Consider the following 26,987-nt stretch of genomic DNA (forward strand, 5'->3'; position numbering starts at 1 on the left):
TTACAGGCATGAGCCACCACACCCGGCCCTTTTTGTGAATTACTACTTCTAAGAAGAGTCAAGACTTTTTGTTTGCTTTTTTTTCCTTTTCTTCAGTATAGTTTAAACTTTCTTTTCTGGCATGCTTAAATCCTTTGAGGTGGTAGCAAAGACATCAGAGCAATGACCCAGGGGCCAGAGCAAGCAGAAACATGAAGCCATGTAAAGGACTTTTTAAAAACAGCTTTAGGCTAGGCGGGGTGGCTTACATCTGCCAGCATTTTATGAGGTGGAGGCGTCCGGATTGCCTGAGGTCAGGAGTTTGAGACCAGCCTGGCCAACATGGTGAAACCCCGTCTCTACTAAAAATACAAAAAAATTCGCCAGGCCTGGTGGTGTGTGCCTGTAATCCCCGCTACTTGGGAGGTGAGGCAGAAGAATTGCTTGAACCTGCGAGGCGGAGGTTACAGGGAGCTGAGATTGCGCCACTGTACTCCAGCCAGCGTACTCCAGAGTGACTCTCAAAAAATAAAATAAAATAAAAAATAAAAATAAAAACAGCTTTAATGAGATATAATTCACATATTATAAATTATATATTAACCCATTTAAAGTGTACAATTCAATGGTTTTTTAGAATATTCACAGACATGTGCAACCATTACCACAGTCAATTTTAGAACATTTTTATCACCTTAAGAAAAAACCACAAATCCTTTAGCTATCACCTTCCCTGTACTCCCATCCTCCCTACCCCAGCCCTAAGCAACCACTAATCTATGTTTTACCTCTACAGATTTCTCTATTGCGGACATTCATATGAATAGAATCATATAGTATGTGATTTTTGTGTGTGACTGGCTTCTTTCACTTAGATTTGTTTTCAGGGTTAATCCATGTTGTAGCATATATCAGCACTTCAATTCTTTCTATGGCCAAATAAAATAATATGCTCCATGGCTGTCATTCAGGGACCCAAGCAGATATTAAATAGATACTGTGCCAGCTTCAACATGCGGATTCCAAGGTCTCCTGGAGCATCAGTATCTAGCAGACAGAAAGAGAAAGAGCCTGGAAGACTATGTGGAGAAAAGGTTTCTGTTTTGTTTTGCTTTGTGTCATTTGGTTTGCTTTGCTTTCTTGGTTTGCTTTGCTTTCTTTAATAGGCCAGACCTGGAAGGGGCACATAGTGCTTTCAGCTACTTTCTTTTTTTAAATTTTAAATTTTAACTGAAATTTATTAGATGTTTAGTAAGTACATAATAGCTCAGTAAACCTAAGGTTTTTTTTTTTTTTAATTTCCACAGGTTTTGGGAGAACAGGTAGGATTTTGTTACATGAGTAAGTTCTTTCATGGTGATTTGTGAGATTTTGGTGCACCCATCACCCGAGCAGTATACACGGAACCCAATTTGTAGCCTTTTATTCCTCATCCTCTTCCTACCCTTTCCCCCCAATTCCCCAAAGTCCATTGTATCATTCTTATGGCTTTGCATCCTCATAGCTTAGCTCCCACTTATAAGTGAGAACATCCAATGTTTGCTTTTCAATTTCTGAATTACTTCACTTAAAATAATATTATCCAGTCCCATCCAAGTTGCTTTGAATGCCATTAACTCATTCCTTTTTATGACTGAGTAGTATTCCATATATATATATTCCATATATATATATTCCATATATATATATTCCATATATATATATTCCATATATATATATTCCATATATATATATTCCATATATATATATTCCATATATATATTCCATATATATATATTCCATATATATATATTCCATATATATATATGTCACAGTTTCTTTATCTGCTCGTAGATTGATGGGCATTTGGGCTGGTTCTGTATTTTTGCAATTGTGAATTCTGCTGCTATAAGCCTGTGTGCAAGTATCTTTTTTGTATAATGACTTCTTTTCCTCTGAGTAGATACCCAGTAGTGGGGTTGCTGAATCAAATGGTAGTTCTACTTTTAGTTGTTTAAGGAATCTTCACACTGTTTTCCACACTGGTTGTTTTAGTTTACATTCACATAGCAGTGTAGAAGTGTTCCCTTTTCACCACATCCATGCCAACATCTGTTTTTTTTTATTTTTTGATTATGGCCATTCTTGTAGGAGTAAGCTGGTATCACATTGTGGTTTTGGTTTGCATTTCCTGCTTTCAGCCACCTTCTATTAGCCCCACCTAATTGCAAGGTGGCCGAGAAACATAATCTATTTAGGTATCTGGAAGAAGAGAACATGGATTTTGATAAGCATCCTGCACTCTCTAGTATAGTGGAATTATCATATGTTATTGCCATTTAACTTTAACTTTTCAGTTCAACAATAACTAGCATCTAAGTTGAGGAGGCAGTACAAGTTTGGCAAATGCCTGTGACTGTCTGATGTTTCTACTGGCTTCTTTACAGAGGTCAGTGTTTCTTGACTTTGGGTTTCTCTCTCATCCTGAACAACAGCAGAACACAGTCAGCGAGACCAAGTATTAGGGAGCCTTGGAAGACAGAGAGGCTTTCTCTGACTCTCCAAGGCATCCAGAGATTAAATAATTTAATAACAAGCATTTTTGGAGCATTGCTCTCAGTCCCTGCTCTCAGAGCCAGGGATACAGCCAAACCAACCAACCAAACAAACAAAGTCTCTGCCCTCTTGCAGCTGATTTTCTGCCAGGGAAGATAACAGTCAACTGATAAAAGGAGTTGTTTTTAAAAAGGGTAAGGGGAGGGAAGTGATAAAAGTTAGTGTTATTTGATACAGGGTGGAGAAGTTCTATGATTACATTTGAGTAGACCCCTGTGGGAATGGAGGGAGTTAGCCACGCAAATAAACCTCAGGAAGGGAGTTCTGACAGAGGCAATGGCAAACGCAAAGGCGCTGAAACAGGAACACACAGGTGTGCAAGGAAGACAGGGTAACTGGAGCAGAGTGAGTGGGGTGGGGAGAGGGGGAAATAATGAGGCAGAGAGGCAGCGCTGGGGCCAGGTTCAGGATTGGGAGTTGTGTTCTGTGTGAATGGGAGCCCTATGGAGGGTTCTGAGCAGAGGAGTGATATTAACTGAATTAAATTTCAGAAGTATCATTCTGGCTCATGTGTGGAGAATATGATATCGTAGAGATGGAGTGGGGAAAAGAGGCCAACTGAAATAGGCCACTTGAGAATTGATGGTGACAGTGAAGAAAGAAGATGGTAGAGGGGGAAATGGTGATAGTGGTTGTGGTTTGTTTCTGGAGATATTCCGGAAACATTGCTGACAAGATTTTCTGTTGAAGGGCTTATCATGTGAATTTTAGTTTTTAAACAGCAAATGCAATAAAAGCATGTTTGTAAAACTCTCCTGGGCCCATCTATAGACTAGCTATAGCTCTTCATCGGAGAAAGAAGCTGTGTTTTGATAGTCTCTGACATCTTCACTTGCCCTCTGCCTCTTCACTTCCCTGTATCTTGAAGCTCTGAAATAGCCTTTGCCAAAATTATGACAGCGAGAAAATTATGACATTGAAAGAGATCTGACCTAACCAGCTCCATCTTACTTTTAACCTCCAAACTGCCTTTGGTCATTCCTGGGTGTGAGCTAAGCTAACTTTGGGAGAAATGATAATAGCCCTTCCCAAAAACTAAACCACCTTTGTAAAACTAATGAAAGCCCACCAGGTTAGGAGGATGACAGGGGCCCAAATTCTGCTAAGATGTAGGCATAGTTCAATGATAACCAGCCACAATTCTAGAGGTCACAAGATTTACAACTTCCCCAATGACTCCTGTAAATAACGTCACTATTTTAGAACATAAGATTGGCCTTTTGAGATGTCTTTTGAGGCCCACCTGTACCAGTGACTCCTCTGTGGTCCCCATCCAGAATTGGATTCAGTGCATAAAGACTGTTTTCCACACCCAGATGATTACATCCCCAACCAATCAGCAGCACCCATTCCCTACCCTCCTGCGCACCAAACTATCCTTGAAAATCCCTAGCCTTGGAATTTTCAGGGAGGTTGATTTGAGTGATAATAAAACTCCAGTTTCCTGTTTAGCTAGCTCTATGTATATTAAGCCCTTTTTCTATTGCAATTCCCCTGTCTTGATACATCTATCAGGGCAGAAGACAAGATGAACCCATTGGGTGGTTACAGATTCACACTGGATAAGTTTTTCTCAAGCATCCCTTTGAACATATTATTGCCCAACTCAAACCTTCAGTTCTCAGGAAGAGCAGGATAAAATCAAACCACTTTGTACAAAATCTAAGATTCCTCACAGTCTGACCTAAAAATGTCACAGTGAGCTTGTTTCTTACTACTACCACACCTACACAAACGCTGGTGACAGCCAAACTCTTCTACTCCCTGTTCCACAGATAGAATAGATTCTTTCCTATTTCCTTGTTTTTACTTAAATAGTTTTTATTGTCTCTTCTTTCCTGTTATCTCCAATGTTACTCCTGCTTCAAGGCCAAACTAAGGATCTTTTTCCCCAAGACTCCTCAGTATCACTGTGACCCACGGTGATGGCCCTCCCTCTGAACTTGTAGTTTCTTTTCTTCTTGGTTAGCAGTAATAAGACAGCCAAATGCCTAGGCAGGTGAAAAAGGGGTCCTCGGAGAATCTCCAACCCGCCCAAGTGTTTATATCAGATGCTTTTGTGCAGATGAGCGACTGGAGCCCGACATGCGCACTGGGGGAAGTGGGTGGAGCCAGGAGGAATTCGTGCCTTACAAAGTCTAGGAGCCTGCTCTCTTCAGCTGGTGTGGTGACCCAGGAAACAATCTAGGAGGTGGTGGGGGCTGGCTAGCAGGAACTCCATCTCGCTTTGCTGAGTTTATTTTTTCCTTTTGGCCCAATAAAACCCTGCTCTACTCACCCTTCAATGTGTCCATGTGCCTAAATTTTCCTGGTCGTGTGACAAGAACCTGGGTTTTAGCTGAACTAAGGAGCAAAATTCTGCAACAGTAGCTCACTGTTCTGCATTCTCTAAAGCTGACCTCCTAGTACATCACATATTACATGTTTTATCTACTCAATTATTTATAGACACTTTGTAAACCTTTGGGTATATTTCTCATGTAAAATAGGCTGCCTTGAATCAAGGGAAGTTTAATGAATATGTGAGTTTCTTTATTTTGGGGAAACCTCTTGTTTCCTTAAAGGAAGGAACGTGTTTCACAGGAGAAACTAAAAAGGACAGAAGTCTTTGAGGAAAGAAAGTTTGAATTTATCTTGCTACACATTTGATTGTAATTTATTTGTGGCTAATGTCTGCTTTTTATTCCTAGAGACACTTCCAAAGTAGGACCCAGTCCTATGGTACTATGCTTGAAGGCAAAAACAAACAAACCCACAAACAAAAACAGTGCTGGGAGGCAGAAAACCGTTTTTTCTTTTTTCTTTTCTTTTTTTTTTTTTTTGAGAGGGAGTTTTGCTCTGTTGCCCAGGCTGGAGAGCAGTGGTGCGATTTCAGCTCACTGCAACCTCCACCTCCTGGGTTCAAGCGATTCTCTTGCCTCAGCTTCCTGAGTAGCTGGGATTACAGGTGCGCACCACCACACCTGGCTAATTTTTGTATTTTTAGTAGAGATGGGGTTTCACCATGTTGGTCAGGCTCATCTCGAACCCCTGACCTTGTGATCTGCCCACCTCGGCCTCCCAAAGTGCTGGGATTACAGGCGTAAGCCACTGCGCCTGGTCCAGAAAACCTTTTTAATAGCTTCTAGTTTAAGAGTCTGTCAGTCTTCTAAGGCTAGACTTTGACTTAAGAGTTTTTACATTGTTTTGTTTGGATGAAAATTAGTTTTATTCTCAAAACAACACACAATTTAACTTTTTAAACACAAGAAACTTTGAGTACATGTTAACATATAAACATATCTTATTCACAATCATCCATTCCAATTGCCAAACCCCAAAATAAATGTTATAGATTATAACAATTTGATTGACATTCCTCACATCGTATTTTCTGTTTACCATTTATTAGCTGTGTCTAACTGTGAGCAAATTAACCTCTCTGTGACTTACTTTACCCCTCTATAAAATAGGGGTAATAAATTGCCTATCTCATTGGGATGTTTTGAGGATCAAACGAGTTAATACATGTGAAGAGCTTTGGACACTGCAAGCAGTCAATAAATATTAACTGTTATTACTATATTAACTATATATGTTTTCTGTTTAAATACATTTTTCTGTTTTTCTGTTTCAGATTCTAACATACTAGAATCTGGGACCTCTGGCTATTTAATTTGCTCTGTCAGTAAATGCAGGTGTTCTGAGTCTTGGAAATCAGTAAACATCATTTGTTTTATTGAAATATAGTGGGTTTTTTCTTTTTGGTTTGTTTGCTTGTTTTGTTTTTTTTTTTTTTTTTTTCTGAGATGGAGTCTCGCCCTGTCACCTGGGCTGGAGTGCAATGGCGCAATCTCAGCTCACTGCAACCTCCACCTCCTGGGTTCAAGTGATTCTCCTGCCTCAGCCTCCTGAGTATCTGGGATTACAGGTGTGTGCTACCATGCCCGGCTAATTTTTTGTATCTTTAGTAGAGATGGGGTTTCACCATGTTGGCTGGGCTGGTCTTGAACCCCTGACTTTGTGATCCACTCACCTTGGCCTCCCAAAACGCTGGGATTACAGGCGTGAGCCACCACGCCTGGCCAAAATATAGTGTTTTTTAATCTCTTAAGCAGAATATCTTAAAAATGTTTTACTAGTAGAAAATACTTATATGTCATACATTTTCTGAACTAATTTCTTTCAAAGACACTGAACAGCAATTTTAGCATATCCTAGGCCCCTGTGGCTGCCTAGGCTGTATTTGATGCTAAATATTTCAGCCTCCAAATCCCATACTTATTCTTTAATAGAATTTCAATAGCAGCAACATGACTGATGCTAATGGGACTATTTTAATAGCCTCCACAAATAGTTTTTTGAGCGGCAACAGGTCTAAAATAGTCATGGAATGAAACACCCTTATTCTTTTTTTTTTTTTTTTTTGAGACAGAGTTTTGTTCTTGTTGCCCAGGCTGGAGAGCAATGGCATGGTCTCAGCTCACTGTAACCTCCACCTCCCAAGTTCAAGCAATTCTCATGCCTCAGCCTCCCAAGTAGCTGGGATTACAGGCACACACCACCATGCCCAGCTAATTTTTGTGTTTTTAGTAGAGATGGGGTTTCGCCATGTTGGCCAGGCTGGTCCCAAACTCCTGGCCTCAGGTGATCCACCTGCCTCGGCCTCCCAAAGTGCTGGGAATACAGGCGTAAGCCACCGCGCCTGGCCAAAACCCCTATTCTTTAAAAGTCATACAAAAAGCACTGATTCACTCATTCAATACATTTATGCTAGGCATTCACTAGGAATTGAAGATATAGTGACACATAAGACAGAAGCATTTTCTGATCATATGGAGCTTCCATTTGTCTGTAAGAAATACAGCAACCAGTAAACAAATAAATGAACAAGTTAGTATCAGATATCCATACATGCTATGAAGAGAATAAAGCAAGAAAATGTAAAAAGTCAAATATGGGGTGAAGAGGGGTTGGTGCATAATTTTGATTGGGTGTCCAAGAAAAGCCTTACAGAAGAGGTGACTTTGGAGCCAATAATTTAATGACAAAAAAGCAGTTCTGCAAAGTTATGAAGGCAGAGCATTCCGGGCAGAAAGGACAGTAAGTACGAATGCCCTAAAGTGGGAACAAACTTGTATGTTCCAGGAATGGAAATAACTCCCAAGTGGCTGAAGGAGTGTGAGCCAAGGAAAAAATTATCAAAGAGAAAGACACAGAGAGAAGTAGGGGGGTGATATCATACAGGGACATGGTAAGGAGGTGGCATTTTACTGAAGGACAAGAGGAAGATATTGCGATCCTAGGAGACAAGCTCTGATTGATGTTTTAGAACAAAAGACTATTCTGGCTGACATGTGAGGAACAGATTATACAGCATCATGAGTGGGAGCAGGGGCTGGGCGTGGTGGCTCATGCCTGTAATCCCAGCACTTTGGGAGGCCAAAATGGGCGAATCACCTGAGGTTAGGAGTTCAAGACCAGCCTGGCCAACATAGCAAAACCCTGGTGGCAGGCACCTGTAATCCCAGCTACTTGGGAGGCTGAGGCAGGAGAATTGCTTGAACCCGGGAGGCGGAGGTTGCACTGAGCCAAGATCTCACCACTGCACTCCAGCCTGGGTGACAGAGCGAGACTCCATCTCAAAAAGAAAAAGAGTGGGAGCAGGAAGAACAGTTTGGAAACTATTGCAGTCAACTAGGCGAAGGATGATGTGACTCAGCTGAGTGCAGAAGCAATGGAGATAAATTATATGGGCAGACTTAGGGTATGTTTTAGAAGTTTAACAGTACTGACTCCGTGTTAGAGAAAAGCTAGCTTGCTTGCTTGAATATAATTATTGTTTTGCTTGAGTGTGGAGATTATTCACTAAAACAGCCTTGAGAAAACAGGACCTTCAACAGAAATAAAAGACACGACCAACAACTCTGGGAATGAGCTGACCGGCCTCGTAAGAACAGGTTGATGGCCCCTGCAGAAGGTCACCGGCATTGACCTAGAAAGCAATGAGTAACTGCCTGCCTGAGACTGTGCACATTTCACAAGAATGTTTTGATATCACTTCCCCTCATTACTCTTAAAAATCCCTGATCTAGAGGGACAATTTGTAACGGTGGTCTTTGAATGCTAATTCACTGCCTTCCCCGGGTTTCTGGCTTCTTGAATAAAGCTAACTTTCCTTTCATCAAAGCTCTTTTCCTGAGTTTTTGTCTTTCAAGTGATGAGTGGCACAGTTACAGAAGTGGTGCAAATAAAAATGGAGATGGACTGAATACAGGGGTAAGAGAAAGGACAAAGTCAAAGATAACTTCTTGTTTTGGAGCGAGACCAGCTGAGTGATAGGAGATTCCATTTACAGATAGGAGATTACATTTACAGGGATGAAGAAGACTGGGGACAGATGAGATTTTTGGAGGGAATCAAAGTCTTCCCCCAACCCCCTAACAAGCAGACCTGTATATGTGGTAATACCTTCAAATTGGGTGCCTATATATGAAACATTAAATGTATTTGTCTAAGAGTAAAGAGCGAGTCATATTTGATATGGAATGGGAAGTGAGCATCATCCCTCACAAATGATAGATAGGTGGGAAGTAAAAGAACTGGAAGGTGAGAATTCTTTGCCTGCCAGTCACTTACTTTTCCTAGGGCTCAACAATCAAAGACATTTCTTGTTTTCCTTAACAATCTATGTCCCTTTTTTCTTTCCTGGTTCATATCCCCCAAAATAGTCACTGTTCCTTGGCACTGTGTAATACATTAAATTCTGCTGATAAAGCTCTTGGGAAAAAGAGGAAATGAAAAGTAAGAGCTTATAGAAGGCATCAGTGAGGACAATAAAAGTAGCAAACCAAGACTAGCTGGTCACCTTCTCACCAGTGGTCTTTGTTTAGGTAAATGAATGAGATGCTATCGAGATATAATGTGGCAGAGAACACAGGCTGCTGCCATTGGTTTCACAAAAGGGAGAAATGAATTTCTACTTTTCCCACTATGTATAGATGCAGATTCCATATACTATGTTTAAACCACTATATTTCTAAAGAGTATGAACACTAGTGCCCCAGACACTAGTGAAGAAAGTCAAGAGCAAGTGAAAAACAAAGAAAATGAGTTTTTCTATAAGAAAACTAGGTTTTCCTAGGTCATTGGTTCTTAAAGTATGGTCCCTGAAATCTGTTAGACGTGCAAATTATCTGCTCCACCTGAGGTCTACAGAACCAGAAACTCTGGGAGTGAAGTCCAGCAATCTGTGATTTAACAAGTCCTCCAGGTGATTATGATGCATCCTTAAGTTTAAGAACCCCTGCCCTAGGTAATAGTGGAAGAAGGTTATTAGTACATGAGAGTGAAATTGAAGTCCAACATTAAATAATACAAAAATTTAACATCAGTCATAATACAGTGAAGATATGTGTACATATAGCAAAGACTCACATAGAAGCAGATGTTTTAATTATGGTTTCTCATCAGAAATTGAAAATATGTCAGATTATTAGCTTTCTAGGTCTTAAATAAATGCATGTATGTTTGAAAAAAATGGGGGCTGGCAATTTTAAACTTTAAAATTAACTGTTTTAGTAGTTTTTCCTCCCTTAAAATAAGAGTTTATGAGATGTTTACATTGAAGCAAAGCTGTTTTTGTTAATGGACTTGATGTCTTTTATTTTTTTCCTAGGCTTTTCAATTAAGAATATAAAACAATCTCAGGATACATTTTCCTAACACATCTAAGATTTTTTAAAACAAAGCAAATATGTTAGATGTAATAACCACCCCTAAGTGAAAAGAATAATTATCCCTTGTAGAGAAGAAGTAACTCATTCAGTTACTTCAGCAAATTATCAGTAAAAATATTTCTTCCTCTTGGCAAAGCCATTGCTTATTATTTTATTGTGTATTTGCATATCCACCTTCTAATATCACCAAATAAGAATAGTAGACAGCTTCCTAAGGGTAAATTGTGAAATACAGGGAAATGGTAAAGCAGCAAATAAAAAGGAAAAAAGTGGCATGAGTGATATTAATAATACAGTGCTAACATAAGATTTATATTAACTGCTAATGCTTTCTGAAATTCAGAGAACATTAACAACTGATACTTACTGGAGTCTGTATTTATATTCTGTATTTACATGCAAGGAGCAGAAAATTATAGTTAAACATATAGCCATGTCAACTTTTCATGGTACAGGGAATACATGGATTATCAAAAGAGCTCTGGGTTTTTTTTTTTTTTTCATTACTTTCAGCACTTCTTTTCTCTTAATTTTACTAGAGCTACTGATAGTTTCTGTTCATTCCTTGATACAAGGATTGCTAAATGACATTCATTCATTCACAAATATTTAGCAAGCACTTATTAAATTGTAGTGACTAATCAAGAGATATTTGTATCTCTGAGAACTATACAAAAAAGTAAAGAGTTCAGTTTCCTTTGGGGGAGTCAAATGGGGAGTTAAGTAATGAGCAAGTTTGTAGACACATGATTACATGCAACAAGAAAGCAGATGAAGACCCAGTAGTCTGGGAGAGGAGTTAGAAAATGAGGGATGTGCTATTTTAGATTGGTGATTTAAAAAATTCACCAATTTTTATGGACTTAGAATGGGGGTGTGCATGCTGATTGGTCCGTGGGTGGGCTTGCAAAAAGCACCACTCAGTTGGTTAAAAGGCATCATCCTGAAGGAACCAATTAAGAGAGAGAGAGAGTAAGATGGGGGTAGAACTTCTCATTCCAGGTGTGGACTCCATCCAGAAATGGCAGCTCGGTTTTCAGGCTTTAAACTCTCTTTGGCTTGAAGGTTGGGTCTCACCAGGGACCTGTCCCTGTCTGCCTAGGAATTTGTCTGTCTTCTATTACTATCAGTACAAAGGCCCTGAGGTAGACAGACTTGGGTACTCCAGAGATAGCATGGAGGCCAACGTGACTGGAATAGGGTGAGTAATGGGGAGTATGGTCAGAGCTCAGAGAAACAGCAAATGCCAATCATGTAAAGCCCCATGGGACTTGATGAAGAGTTTAGATTTTGTCTTAAGTGTAATGCAATACATACCGTGAGGTGAATAGGCTGCAATAGAGCAAAAATGCAGGAGATCAGAGAGTTGGCTACCACAGAGTCCAGATGGGTGAGCTGGTGGAGTAGTTAAAAGGGATTGGATTCCGGATATTTGAAAGACCAAGATAACTGGGATATTGTGTATGAGAGAAAGAAGCAGAGGGTGAGCTTAAGATTTTTGTTCTAAGCATCTGGTGGATGAAGGAGCCATTTACTGGCCTAGGAGATGTCAGGAAAGGAACAGGTTTGGAGTTCAGAAAAATCAAGAGTTCAGTAGTCAACATGTCAAGTCTCAGATCCATTTTACACATCCCAGTAAACATGTGCCTGAAGTAGTTTGTGTCTGGGGTTGAGGCAGTGCAGGTTACAGCTGCTGGTAGGTTGATAGAGTTGATGATGGGTGGATATAGAATTGCTCTTCAAACTGTTTCCTTTTTTCAGTGTGAAAAATACAAAGCGTTTTGCTAAATGCATGATGATGGTGATTTCTGAAATTGGAGAACAAACAAAACCCAGGAAGGTCATCAGCTGAGATGTGTTGGAATTTTGGTAAGAAGGGAGAAGATATGAAACAGTGATCTTAGAGATGTGGAATAATAAATTTGACTAGGGAGATGTTCAGGTTTGCTGGGAAACACTGAAGGCCTCCTTAGTCTGTGGTCATGAAATTAAAATGAGACTGGTTGCCTGATTCTCTTTTCCCAGCCATGTTCAGCCACCCAGAAGGAGGAATTGAGTAGATGGAGAACTACATTTCATCAGGGTTAAGGTTTTACCAATAAATGAAATGGAGTGCAAGGGGAATAACTAAATGGAAGATCTATATGAGGAAGTGATTTCACAGCACCCTGCAATGTTAGCTGCAATTCCCAAATCCAAAAAAGATCTGAACACTGAAAGCTTTTTCATTAGTTTGGTGCTCAAAATCAGTTGGTGTGAAAACTTGACCTGACCTTATGTTAGGTTAATTCTATTCTTTATCCCATTTAGTGTGATATTCTTACGTTTTTCTGCATAACTATTAATGAAAACAATGTATTTCCTGAATCCCTACTTGGGGTATTCTATAATATGTGAGGGGTGTGTGTATGTTTCTCTCTCCCTTTCTCTCTCTCTTTTACATTTGACATTATTTTACATTATTACACACTATGTACATTTTAATATATACATATATATATATATATTTACATTTCTAAAAGTTTTTTAAGACTTTGAATTCTGCCTCACACTCTTCCAAAAAATTGCAGAGGAGGGAACACTTTCAAACTTATTCTATGAGGTCAGCATTACCCCAATACCAAAGCTAGACAAGGACACTACCAGGAAAGAAAACTATAGACCAATATCTCTGATAAATACTGATGGAAAAATCTTCAAAATATTAGCAAACTGAATTCAGCAGCATATTAAAAAATTATTTACCATGACCAAGTGGGATTTTTTTCTGATATGCAAGGATGGTTCAACACATGGAAATTATGTAATATGTCACATTAACAAAATGAAAGAGGAGAAAAGCACATGATTATCTAAATTGATGTAGAAAAAGAATTTGACAAAATTTGACATGCTTTTGTGATAAAAAGCATTCAACAAACAAAGAATAGAAGGAAATTACCTCAACATAATAAATAAAGACCATATATGAAGGGTTACATACTCCATGGTTAATATCATACTCAATGGTTAAAGTTAATATCATACTCAACAGTTAAAGACCAAAAGCTTTTCCTCTGAGATAGGAACAAAGCAAGGATACCCACTGTTAACTGCTTTCATTCAACATAGTACTGAAAGTCCTAGCCACAGCAATTAGGAAATAAATTTATCTAGGGAAAAGTTATAAAAAAAAAGTTATCCAAATTGGAAAAGAAGAAGTAAAATTATCTGTTCACAGAAGATATAATCTCATATGTAGAAATCCCTAGAGATTCTACACAAAAAAACTGCTACATATAAACAAAGTTTAAACAAAAGTTGCAGAATACAAAATCAATACAAAATAGTTGTATTTCTATATACTACAAATGAAGAAGCCAATAAGGAAATTGAGGAAACAATTCCATTTAAAATAGCATAAAAAAGAATAAAGTACTTATAAAGAAACTTAGTCAAGAAGACAAAAGACTTGTATTAAAAAAACTATAAAACTTGCTGAAATAAATTAAAGAAGACACTAACAAATGGAAATGATGATGGTGGTGGCCCACCTGGAGCAGCCACTGCAGAAATGCCAGCTGCAGCAGGGGAAGCACGCTTAGGGCTGTGTGCTCCGCAGAGCCAGTGGAAGCTGGGAACAGGAGGGAGCCATGACCCATTCCGAGTTGGCCAGGTGGGAGCCCCACCTTCCTGGGCACAGCTGTAGCCGCCCAGCTGCGGCTGCAGACCCAGGCATCCCTGTGCTCTTGGGGCGAGAAACCCTCCCATCCCGCAGGCTTGGAAGTGCCTGCTCCCACTGCCTGGCCTCTCCCAGCACCTGGTACTGTGATTTTGGAGCAAAACTGAGGTGGAGCCTGGGCACTGTTGCAACCCAGCTGGTGTGTGTGCACTTAGGGTGGTGCTGACATGCCAGCTCCCTGCTGCCTCAGCCCCTCTGGACTTTGGGCACTGACGAGCATGGGAGGGAGGCCGAGGGGGTACTGAGGATGGCTCAATGCAGGCCTGCAGGTGCCACTCCACATGAACAGCCTGGGGACCATGGATGACATGTAGATGGCAGCAGGAGGCAGACAGGCTCCTGGGTGGAAAGGGGCAGGTCCCCACTGAAACCCCACCTTCAAGCCAGGAAGGACCTGAAGCCTGGGGGCCAGGATCCATTCCGGGTGGAGTCTGTAGCTGGGAGTGAGAACTTATGGTGCTTTTTTTAGGCCGACCCATGGCCACCCATGGACCAATCAGCATGCACTTCCCCTCTTCTGAGCCCATAAAAACCCCCGGACTCAGCTAGACTCCGGCAGACATCAAGAAGACCTGCCTGCAGGTAGGAGCTACCCATTCCATATCTCCTCTCCACTGAGGGCTACAGAGATGATGGGATGACCTGCCTGCAGATGGGAGCTACCCACTCTGAATCTCATCTCCAGTAAGAGCTGTGTTCATCAGGACCACCTGCCTGCGGAAAGGAGCTACCCACTTTGGGTCTCCTGAAAGCTGTACTGTCGCTCAATGAAGCACCTCTTCACCTTGCTCACCCTCCAATTGTCTGCGTATCTCATTCTTCCTGGATGCAGGACAAGAACTTGGGACCCGCTGAATGGTGGAATTGAAAGAGCTGTAACACAAAAAGGGCTAAAACATGCCCCCCACACTGCAGGCAATGAGAAGAAGAGAAGAGCTGTAGCCCTTTTAGGAGCCCAGACCTAGGGACTCCCTGAGCCAGGGCTGTGACACCCTCTTTGGGGCACTGTGGTTTCTGGCATTTCCAAGCTTCTGGGCACCACTGTATTCCCTTCATCCAGACGCAGGTGCCCACAACAAAAGCCACTTTGCAGTGCATCTGATCCAGCCACAGGTTTGCATGAAGCTGTTGCCTATGCCAGTGCCTGTAGCTGCCCACTCTGCCACAGCAGCTGGTGTGCCTGGCTGTGCACAGTGACTGGACCCCGTGCTCACTCATGCACCCTTCACCACTCCATGCTTGGCTCGCCCTTGGCAGTTGTGGGGTCCAGGCTGGTAGCATGAGCCAAGTGCAGCCTGCCAGGCCAAGTGGCCAGAATGAGCACAGCAGGTCTGAGCAAAACTTGGGCAAAGGTGCCACCAGCCACAGAGGCTTCCAGCTGGAAAAGTGACACTCCAAGGATCCTGTGACAGAAACACACCTTGTGTTCATAGATTGGAAGTCTTAATATTTCTAAGATGTCAATACTATCCAATGCGATCTATAGATTTAATGCAATCCCTATAAAAATCCCAATGGCTTTTTTTTTTCAGAAATAGAGATATTTTTTCTAAAATTCAAATGAAATCTCAAGGGACTCTGAATATCCAAAACAATCTTGAAAAAGAAGACTAAAGTTGGAGGTCTCAAATTTCTCAATATCAACACCTATTACAAAATTACAATAGTCAAAAGAGTGCGGCACAAAGATAGACATATAGACCAATGGAATAGAATAGAAAGCCCAGAAATAAAGCTTCTCATATATGATCAAATGATATTAAAGAGTGCCAAGACCATTCAGTGGAGAAAGACAGTCTTTTCAACAAAATGTGCTGGGAAAACTGGATAGCCATGTGCAAAAGGATGAAATTGGACCTTACCTTATTTCATATACAAAAGTTAACTCAAAATGTATCAAAGACCTAAATACAAGACACAAAACTATAAAATACTTAGAAGAAAACATAGGAGAAAATTTTCATGACATTGGATTTGGTAATGATTTCTTGGCTATTGTTACTGAAACATCAGGGATTTGGTCTAGGCCCTACTGCATGCCACACAGAAAGCCACTGCACAGAAAACCAGTGATTGAGACAACTAGTATTGCCAAGGAAGAAGGCTTTAATGAGGATCAGTCTCAAATCCGTCTCCCTGACCAACTGAAACCGAGGGTTTATATAGCAGAGAAGAAATGAACAGAACTCAGATAAAACAAATATAAGTTTCAAGCTTTAAGACCAGAAGGGTCAATTTCTATGTTTATCCAAAAAACTATCTATGGAACTATTGGGTCAGTTTTCGTATAACACCAAAAGCCCAGGCAACAAAAATAAAAATTGATAAATTAGATTACATCAAAATTTAAAACTCCTGTGTATGAAACGATACTATCCACAGAGTGAAAAGACAACCCACAGACTGGGAGAAAATATTTGCAAATTAGATAAGAAGTTAATATCCAGAATATATTTTAAAACTTCTACAACTCACCAAATAATAAACTCAATTAAAAAATGAGCAAATGAATTGAATAGACATTTTTCCAAAGAGGATATGCAAATGGACATCAAGCCCATGGAAATCTGCTCTGCATCACCAATCATTAGGAAAACAAAAATGAAAACCTCAATGAGCCACCACCTTACACCCTATTCAAATGGCTACTATAAAAACAAAACAACAGGCCGGGCGCGGTGGCTCACGCCTGTAATCCCAGCACCTTGGGAGGCGGAGGCAGGCGGATCACGAGGTCAGGAGATCAAGACCGTCCTGGCTAACACTGTGAAACCCCATCTCTACTAAAAATACAAAAAATTAGCCAGGCGTGGTGGCAGGTGCCTGTAGTCCCAGCTATCGGGAGGCTGAGGCAGGAGAATGGCATGAACCCAGGAGGCCGAGCTTGCAGTAAGCCAAGCTCGTGCCACTGCACTCCAGCCTGGGCAACAGAGTGAGACTCTGTCTCAAAACAAAAAACAAAAAACAAACAACAAAAAAAACCAAACAAACAAAAAAGAACAAGTGCTGGAGACATTAGAACACTTGTGGACTATTGGTGGGCATGTAAAATGGTGCAGCCACTGTGGAAAACAAATGATGATCAGACAACAAATTAAAAATGGAATTACTTTATAATCCAGTATTGCCACTTTTGAGTATGTGCCCAAAAGAATTGAAACAGGGTACTGAAGAGGTATTTGTATGCCCATGTTAATAGCAGCATTATTTGCAATAGCCAAAATGTGTAAGCAATCAGCATTCATTAATGAATGAATGAATGAACTATGATTACATATTTCAGCTTTAAAAAGGAAGGAAATTCTGACACATGTATAGATTTTGAGGAGATTATGCCAAGTGAAATAAGTCAACTATTAAAAGAAAAACACTGTATGAACACTTAGATGAGGTACCTAAAGTAGTCAAATTCAGGGAGACAGAAAGTAGAATGTTGATTGCCAGGGGCTGGGGTGAGAGGGGAATGGAGAGGTTTTTGTTTTTTTTTAATGGATATAGAGTTTCGGTTTTACAAGATGGAGAGTCCTGGAGATTAGTAGCACAACAGTGTGAATGTAATTAGCACTACTGAGCTGTACATTTAAAAATTGTTAAAATGCTAAATTTTATGTTATGTATATTTGACCACAATTTTTTAAAGCCTAATTTCTGAAACAGCTTTGTTCCCACAGGCTTTGGAAAAGATCCTGTGGTCCTGGGGTGATGAGGTATCAACTTTCAGCCAAGTAATAAGGGAAATGAGCATGTGAGGGGAACAATGAGCAGTAAAAAGGGCAAATCGATTTGAGGTCCTGGTGGGATTGAAGCATTTATGGAACAACCTGGAAAGATATCAGTGGCCATCAGAGACTTGGATACCTGAAATTTTCATCTGGAACAGGCACAGTTTAGATTATGACCATGGGAGTGTTAAGGAGGATGGGACTATTGGAAGCAAGAAGATGTAAGTAATGAAACTGAGCTGCTACGATTCATGAATACTGAAATCTCCAATGTAGACAGGAGCTCTCTGCTCCTGGGAGAGAAAGACCACGAGCTACGTTTCTATCTTCATCTCTTACTACTTTCCCAATGAGAATGTGGCAATAGGGAGGGAGAAGGATACCTACCACCCTATCCTGAACCAATATAAGTGGACTGTGTTAGAAAATGCTTGAAAGGGTTACAGGGGAAGAAGTCATCAGGAGACAACTAGGTTTCAGTTAAGATGAAGGGAAAGGAAACATTTGGAGAAGTACGACCCTGAAGTTAGGTGATTAGAAAGAAAATACTGATTAGAGGCCGGGCGCGGTGGCTCACACCTGTAATCTCAGCACTTTGGGAGGCCGAGGCGTGCGGATCACAAGGTCAGGAGATCGAGACCATCCTGGCTAACACGGTGAAACCCCATCTCTACTAAAAATACAAAAAAATTAGCCGGGTGTGGTGGCGGGCGCCTATAGTCCCAGCTACTCGGGAGGCTGAGGCAGGAGAATGGCGTGAATCTGGGAGGCGGAGCTTGCAGTGAGCCGAGATAGCGCCACTGCACTCCAGCCTGGGCGACAGAGCGAGACTCCGTCTCAAAAAAAAAAAAAAAAAAAAAAAGAAAGAAAGAAAGAAAATACTGATTAGAAAGAAAATACAGTGTATTTGCTCACTCCTGTAATCCCAGCACTTTGGGAGGCCAAGGCAGATGGATCACGAGGTCAGGAGATCGAAACACAGTGAAACCCCGTCTCTACTAAAAATACAAAAAATTAGCTGGGCATGGTGTCACGCACCTACAGTCCCAGCCTGGGGAGGCTGAGGCAGGAGAATCTCTTGAATCCGGGAGGTGGAGGTTGCAGTGAGCCGAGATCATGCCACTGCACTCCAGCCTGGGTCACAGAGCAAGACTCTGTCTCAAAAAAAAAAAAAAAAAAAAAAGACTAAAATCTAGCCTATGTAGAAATAGTGATTCTTGCTGTACTTTATGCAAATAATCTGTTTTGCAAACAACTCAGTCCTATCATGATTGTTTTTTAACAAAAATGAGGACTGGAGAGAGAAATTATATTTCAAAACTCATCATACATTTGTCATTAAATTCTAAACTCATTAGTTGTTTTTTTTGTTTATATTTTTAGACTACCCCTGCTTGTTCCTGTGAACCAACCAATCAATCAACCAACCAAGCAATCTCCAGCTGCAGCTCAGAAAGAACAAAAGGGATGGGTAATGTAAAAATCTGGATCAATATTCTAGTTCTGAGCAATTATCCTGCAAATCCTGCCAGGTGATGGAAATAAACAGGATACTCATCACGCAGAGGTTTCCTTTCTGGGAAAGGAAGACCAAGGGAGCTAACCAAAGCCAAGCACCATGCACCCAAATCTTAGCAAGCATAACTATAGCCACCAGTTATTTGGGCATGTCACAAGACATGCTTTTCTCTCCCTTGTTGGAGGAGGATTCAATTCCACACCTTCACCTCAGCATTTGGCTTCTGATAAGGAGTCCATGTACCCCTACCAAGACACATTTTTTCCCAAACTCAATTCCAAGCTTCAGGTCAAAGCCCTAGGAAAGAAAACTGGATCTAAGGAATCCAGAGGCAGACAACAACAGAGGTTAAAAGACAGTGCAGGTAAGCAGGGCTAATTCCTGCCAATAAAGCCAAGCCTCCCATTTCATGGATAAGGGTCATGCTAGTATCCATGGCATAAATGAGGTCTAGGGAACTCCAAGGCTACTGATAGTAGGTGGGATAGAGACATAGGTGAGAGCAGCTAATTCCTATTATCTAGGCCCTCCCTGCTTCATGGGTGCAAGCTACTTTGGCACCTATGGATGGCACCTGCTAAGTTCACTGGGACTTGATGATTCAAGGACAGAAGAGGGAAAGAGGACACTCTTCCTTCTCTCCTTCACATACCCCAGGTATTGCTAGGAAGAGAAGGGAACCAGGGATGCCTGCTCCCGTCTTTCTAGATGGGTAGCCATTCATCTTCAATCTATACCCCTTTTGAATGCATCCTGAACCCCTGGGACTCCTTTTTTAAAAAAGCCTCCTTGGCTGGGCGCGGTGCCTGGACGCCTGTAATCCCAGCACTTTGGGAGGCCAAGGCGGGCAGATCACGAGGTCAAAAGATCAAGACCATCCTGGCCAACATAGTGAGACCCCATCTCTATTAAACATATAAAAATTAGCTGGGTGTGGTGGCGTGTGCCTGTAGTCCCAACTACTCTGGAAGCTGAGGCGGGAGAATCGCTTAAACCTGGGAGGCTTGCAGTGAAAGCCTTCTTTTTTCCTCCTCTTTCCTCTCTTCACTGATAGGTAATTTTGTCTCTGTACTCAGGACACTCCTGTCAGATGCATCCTCCAAACTGGGAAAAGTTAATTTCCCAAACCTTAGACTGGTTGGCTTAGGATTGGGCTCAGGGGAAGGGAACCCAGAAGCTTGATATGCTGGCAAAAGGGTAAAAGTTTTTTTTACAGTCGGGCTTTTGGCCTCCCTCTCCCTGTGCAAACTGGTAAAAGGCCTTGGGATTTTTGATGTGTCCTTACCCATCCCTTTTTTCTCGTTTTGATACGTGTTTTCTAATAACCTGGTTTGTCTCTTCTCACCTTCAGGCTATCAAACTCCAAATGGTCATGCAACTGGAGCTTTGGAGGATGGCCCTTTCTGCCGGGTACCCTTAGCTAGCTAGACCTCTGAGGGAGCTCCAATGCCATTCCCCCAGAACAGCGCCCCCTGTCAGCAGGAAGCAGTTAAGATCGGTCTTCGTCCTTATCCTTATCCTTATTTTAACAGCAGTTAGATGTACTTCTGCAGAGGGGGGAATGAGACAGCCAGGTGTAAAAGGGTCCCTGGAGAAACTCCAACTGGGCTGCATACTGGGTGAATGAGGTGAATCCTTGGGAAGTTCCTGCCATTTGCAGGGAGGAAGAGTCTGGATTCTCCTATTCCGGGGTTGGTAACCTGGATTTAATTTGTGAGCCCACTGGCAGGAAGTACACTCTCTCGCTTTGCTGAAAGTCCCTGTTTCCCCACCTTTTTTCCTTTTCACCCAATAAACCCTGCCCTTCTCGCCCTTCAAAGTGTCTGCAAGCCTAATTTTTCATGGTCGTGTGACAAGGACCCTGTTTTTAGCTGAACTAAGGAGAAAGTCCTACAACAAAAATGGTCCCTCAGCCATATACTTGAGTTGCTCCCTTAGGGGGCCTCAGTTACTTCCCGATGGTACATTACATACCTGGGGGTTTATTACCTCTGTAATCAGGATCATTCTTTAATGTGGAAGGAAATAGCACACAGAACTCCTGAAAAAATTAGATCCTTAACACAAGACAAATTATCTTTAAACATTTTTTTCATGTGTGTATGTGTGTTTTCAAAAAGTTTTTGTCGGGGAATGGAGGAGTAGATGACTTTTTTTTTTGGAAGTTGTAGAGTCGTAAAGCCAGAAAGAGAGAAAAACTATGGAAAGAGCAGCTCCACTTAGGTGAGTGTGTTTTTAAAATTATAATGTAAATGGTAATTATTATGGAAGATAACCAGAATTTGCCAAGCCTACATTGGGGGTAGAGATGGAGAGAGGGTGCTTTCAGCCAAATAGTATCCTGCTCATTGCCAAGGAGTCATGTAACACTATGGTAAGTTCAGTGAGCTGAGGATACTCTATTCTGGTTGTAGGATAGCATGCATATATGGGCACTTTGCAGTAGAGGTGTTTGCAGACTTTGGGCTTTTCACTTCTGCCATCTGTGCTTGGGCCAATGGAATTGAGTGAGATATACAATCTACAAACAGGCTACCCTGGAACATTTACCCCAATCTTTGACACAAAGGTAGTGTTTTGTTTTGTATTGTGTTTTGTTTTGTTTTACTTTCTAATATTCTGAAATATCTTAGAATAGTTCTTAGTTTTCTTTTGTCCCAGGCTTTACAAGGTTGGAAGGGGCCTATTCCCATCTTTACTCTGGAGGTCTCATCTTCTAATGCTGGGCATTGGGTAGATGCTTATGGGTCTGGGCAGCATCCTTGTTCTCAAGCAGTAAGAGGATTCCAAAGGCCATTTTAGGTGTTATTCAGCAGGCACTGACTTGCAAGATGCCAAGAGCCCACAAGAGAAAGCAAGATGACCTGAAGAAATGGATGTTCCTTCATTCTCCACTTGCCTGAAGACAAACTGAGATTTAGGTGAAGCTCACATCTATTTCTGCTAATAACAATCCCACTGCTAATTATGGGATGTGGTAGTTATAGTGATAAGAGAGGAGCTATATTCAGAGGGGTTTAGAAAAGGTTGCAATGTACAGAGGGGTTTTTAATTTGTATTAATATTTCTCAGTTTACTTCCTCCATTTAGATTTAAGATTTACTCATTAATTCAATAAACATTTATTGAGTGTCTGCTATGTACCAGGCACTGTTCTATTGGCTGGGGATAACAGCAATGAACACCACAAACAAAACCCTTGCTCTCATGGAGTTTGTACTTTAGTGGAGGGAGAGTGACAACAAATATAATAAAATACTGTATGTTGCATGGTGATAATTTTGAGAAGAAAAATACAGCAGGGAAGGGGTATAGAAGAAGGTGTTTGACAGGATTTGCAATTTTAGAGAGTGATTGTAAATTTAGAGAAGGTCCAGGGAAGAACCTTCTGAAAAGATGAAGGTGAAGGAAGGGAGCCCTATGGACATCTGGGTGCAAAGGTATTCCAAGCAGAGAGAACACGAAAGGGGGGCACATGCCTGGGGTTTTTGAGGAACAGCATGGAGTCCAGTGTATATGCAATAACATCAAGAAGACAGTAGTAGGAGCTGATATCAGAGAAAAAAAACCACGAGGGCAAGACCATAGAGCCTAATAAGCAAGCCATTGTAATGCTTTGGTTTCATTCAGTGTGAGATGGAAATTCACTTCTTTACTTGACATATTTACAGGAGTAAATCATTGCTGGGTTGAGAATAAACTGAAAATTTGAATCCCCTACTTCCAAAATGTGCAAAGACATCATAAGATTGATAACGTTTAATAAGCATCTGTGACTTTATAAGCCAGGTGGGTCTCTGCTCTTTGTGTCTTAATATTTTGCAAAAGTAATTGCAGTTTTTACCATTGACAGTAATGGCAAAAACCACAATTACTTTTGCACCAATCTAATATTTAGGACCTCAGACAGTCCACAACTTAGAAGACTCAGGCCTGAAGACAGTCTTATCCTCTCACGGTTGACTAAGCAAATGTTTGTTGAATGAATGAAAGAATAATATTGATTGAGAATTAAAAAAAAAAGAGACAATAGTTAATAATTCTGAGTATCCTGAAAAAACTAGTGCCTATAGCCTAAATTTTCTATTAAAAAATGTAAAGATTTAGCAAAATATTTACCTGTGTGGTGACATTTCTTTCCTTTTGTCTTTTATTATGTTCCTCTGCTTTGATAGCTGCAATACACAAAATTTTTTTATAAAATTTAAAAGCATTTTCTTTTTAAAATTTCACTAAATACAATTTATTGTTAAAAAAACTTCTAGAAAACTTTTAGAACTCTAAGAATAATTGTTGACAATAATTTATAATTTAGAGTTCCTAATAATGTGTTAAAAATAATTCCTTCACTGATAATTTGTAAAGCTAGAACTTGACACCAGAGACAATCTATATACTTTAATCAAGCATTCTGAAATTGAGTTAATAACATGAAAGAGTTCTATAAATCATAGAGCTAATTACAATAGTGGAAAACTTTCTGAGCTAGAAATGTATTTAATTAAATGTATCTATATAAATAAGTGCCATCTATTAATAGAAGCTATTAAAACATAGAAGAGGAAATATAACATTTTATATTTTTATAGACTCATCCATATGTCAGAGAGATACTGAAAATTAATTGAATGATACAAACATCTGAGAAATGTAGACTGATAATTATACCAGGCTTTGAAATTTGAGAAAATAACTTTCAATGAATTTTTAATGAACCAATTTTAATACTTTTTTTTATAAAGACTATATATATATCATATAGAATACATGCATAATCATTGGCATATTTATTTTTGCACAGTGCTTGAAATTTCTTCACTTTCTTAGAGAAACAAGTCGGAAAACGTGAGATGACAGGATAACACATCATGATGTTTCAACTTTACTACATTACTAAGATTGACAAATTTTCAATTGCTGTAAACAAACAAATCTGATGCATTGTAAAAATGATCATATGTTTTGGGAAGTAAAAAAAATGCAAATATGTGATACATTCACATTTCACAGGCTGAAGAATTTGACCACAAACCAATATGAAATAGTCAAAATTTTGTATTTCCAAAAAGTCAAAAGCTTTTAAGAACAGGTCATAAATTTTCTAATGTTATTTCTGACATAGTATTTATTAATTAATTAATTTATTTCTACTTTTTTTTTTTTGGACACAGAGTCTCACTCTGTCACCCAAGCTGGATGTAGTGGCACGATATTGGCTCCCTATAACCTCTGCCTCCGTGTTCAAGCAGTTCTCATGCCTCAGCCTCCCAAGTAGCTGGGGTTACAGACATGCACCACTGCCCCCAGCTAATTTTTCTATTTTCAGTGGAGGTGGTGTTTTTGCCATGTTAGCCAGGCTGGTCTTGAACTCCTGACCTCAGGTGATCTGCCTGCCTCAGCCTCCCAAAGTGCTGGGATTACAGGCGTGAGCTGCTGCGCCCAGCCCATTGTATTTATTAATTTGATGTTTTATTATTTCACTTACCAGTGAACTTTAGTACTTGGCAGCAGCCTCACAATTATACATCTGTTGTGTTTACTTTGTAATCTAGACCTTATAGGAACTGGTCCCAGATTGATTCATATTTAGTCCTCTGTCAAATTAGAGAAATAACTGGCAAATTCTAAATAAAAATTAGGCTGGGTATGGCAGCTCACACCTGTAAACCCAACACTTTGGAAGGACAAGGTGGCCGGCTCCCTTGAGCCCAGGAGTTTTGAGACGAGCCTGGGCAACATAGTGAGACCCTGTCTCTACAAAAAATGCAAAAATTAGCCAGCTATGGTGGCATGCACCTGAAATCCAAGCTACTTAGGAGGCTTAGGTGGGAGGATCATTGAGCCCGGGAAATCAAGGCTGCAGTGAGCAGAAATTGCGCCACTGTACTCAAGCCTGGGTGACAGAGCGAGACCCTGTCTTAAATAAATAAATATTCAAAAACTGCCTGGTAAGCAAGGCATTACTAAGGCATACCAAATTCTTTTAAAGACGATACATATCTGATACTATTATATACATTAGGATTGTTCCTTAGGTTCAAGATATGAATAAGTTTTATTAAATATTATTATAAATAAAGCTTTATCCCAAGTTTGTCAAGTGATTATATTGGGACCATGAATACTCAACGTCAGAGGCAATGTAGCCTCATGGTCTACCATCTGGCTTTAAGTCAAACAGGCCTATATTCTAGTCTTGATTTTGTAACTATTTCATTAATTGGTATGATAATTAAATGAGATCGTTTATATATTTAGCACAGTACTTAATACACAGTTTTTAATAAGTGTTAGGTATATAAAATTATTATTATTATATGGAACCTACTTCTTTAAAGGATTTAAGATGCCTTGAGGATATTACATGTGAGTGCAAAAGTACTTGCAGTTTTTGCATTGTTGGAATTTGCCGTTTGATATTGGAATACGCTACTTAAATAAATGTGGTTATGTTACACATCATTTTAATGGGCATTTCTCACCTCATGTTTTTTGCTTATTACTTGCTGTTTATTTTATGTTTATTTTAGACTATGGAATGATGTTAGACAAAAAGCAAACTTGAGCGATTTTCTTATTTGAGTTCAAAATGGGTCGTAAAGCAGCAAAGACAACCTGCCACATCAACAACACATTTGGCCCAGGAACTGCTAACGAACGCACAGTGCAGTGGTGGTTCAAGAAGTTCTGCATAGGAGGTCTGGGCGCGGTGGCTCACGCCTGTAATCCCAGCACTTTGGGAGGCCGAGGTGGTCAGATCACGAGGTCAGGAGATCGAGACCATCCTGGCTAACACACTGAAAGCCCATCTCTACTAAAAATACAAAAAAAAAAAAAGTTAGCCGGGTGTGGTGGCAGGCGCCTGTAGTCCCAGCTACTTGGGAGCTACCCAGGAGGCAGAGCTTGCAGTGAGCTGAGATCGACCCACTGCACTCCAGCCTGGGCGACAGAGCGAGACTCTGTCTCAAAAAAAAAAAAAAAAAGTTTTGCAAAGAAGACAAGAGCCTTGAAGATGAGGAGCATAGTGGGCGGCCATCGGAAATTGACAACGACCAGTTGAGAGCAGTCATTAAAGCTGATCCTGTTAAAACTACATGGGAAGTTGCCAAAGAACTTAACGTCGACCATTCTATGGTTGTTCGGCATTTGAAGCAAATTGGAAAGATGAAAAAGCTTGATAAGTGGGTGCCTCATGAGCTGAACGAAGATTTGAAAAATCATCATTTTAATGTGTCCTCTTTTCTTAACAACGAACATTTCTCGATTGGATTGTGATGGGCAACGAAAAGGGGATTTTATATGACAACCAGTGATGACCAGCTCAGTGGTTGGACCAGGAAGAAGCTCCAAAGCACTTCCCAAAGCCAAACTTGCACCCAAAAATGGTCATGGTCACTGTTTGGTGGTCTGCTGCCGGTCTCATCCACTACAGCTTTCTGAATCCCAGTGAAACCATGACATCTGAGAAGTATGCTCAGCAAATTGAAGAGATGCACCGAAAACTGCAACGCCTGAGCCAGCATTGGTCAACAGAAAGGGCCCAATTCTTCTCCAGGACAAGGCCTGACCGCTCGTCGTACAACCAAAGCTTCAAAAGTCAAACGAATTAGGCTTTGAAGTTTTGTCTCATCCGCCATATTCACCTGACCTGTCGCCAACCGACTACCACTTCTTCAAACATCTTGACAACTTTTTGCAGGGAAAATGCCTCTACAACCAGCAAGATTCAGAAA

The 26,987-nt window shown here is 40.5% G+C and overlaps 1 protein-coding gene across 22 annotated transcripts in view; it reads right to left on the reverse strand.

The window, feature by feature from the left end:
- The window catches only part of SEL1L2 (SEL1L2 adaptor subunit of SYVN1 ubiquitin ligase), a 146,087-nt gene that overhangs the window by 83,456 nt on the left and 35,644 nt on the right, over window positions 1–26,987 (reverse strand). For all 22 annotated transcript variants that reach the window (NR_073207.2, NR_073206.2, XR_937162.2 and 19 more), the window contains exon 2: window positions 23,374–23,429. Coding sequence is in view for 13 of the 22 variants with exons in the window: in NM_001271539.2 (NP_001258468.1) it covers window positions 23,374–23,429 (56 nt within the window). In the remaining 9 variants the exon portion in view is untranslated. The remainder of the gene's footprint in view (window positions 1–23,373; window positions 23,430–26,987) is intronic.

The sequence above is a fragment of the Homo sapiens genome, chromosome 20 (assembly GCF_000001405.40).
Source record: "Homo sapiens chromosome 20, GRCh38.p14 Primary Assembly".
Classification (NCBI taxonomy): domain Eukaryota; kingdom Metazoa; phylum Chordata; class Mammalia; order Primates; family Hominidae; genus Homo; species Homo sapiens.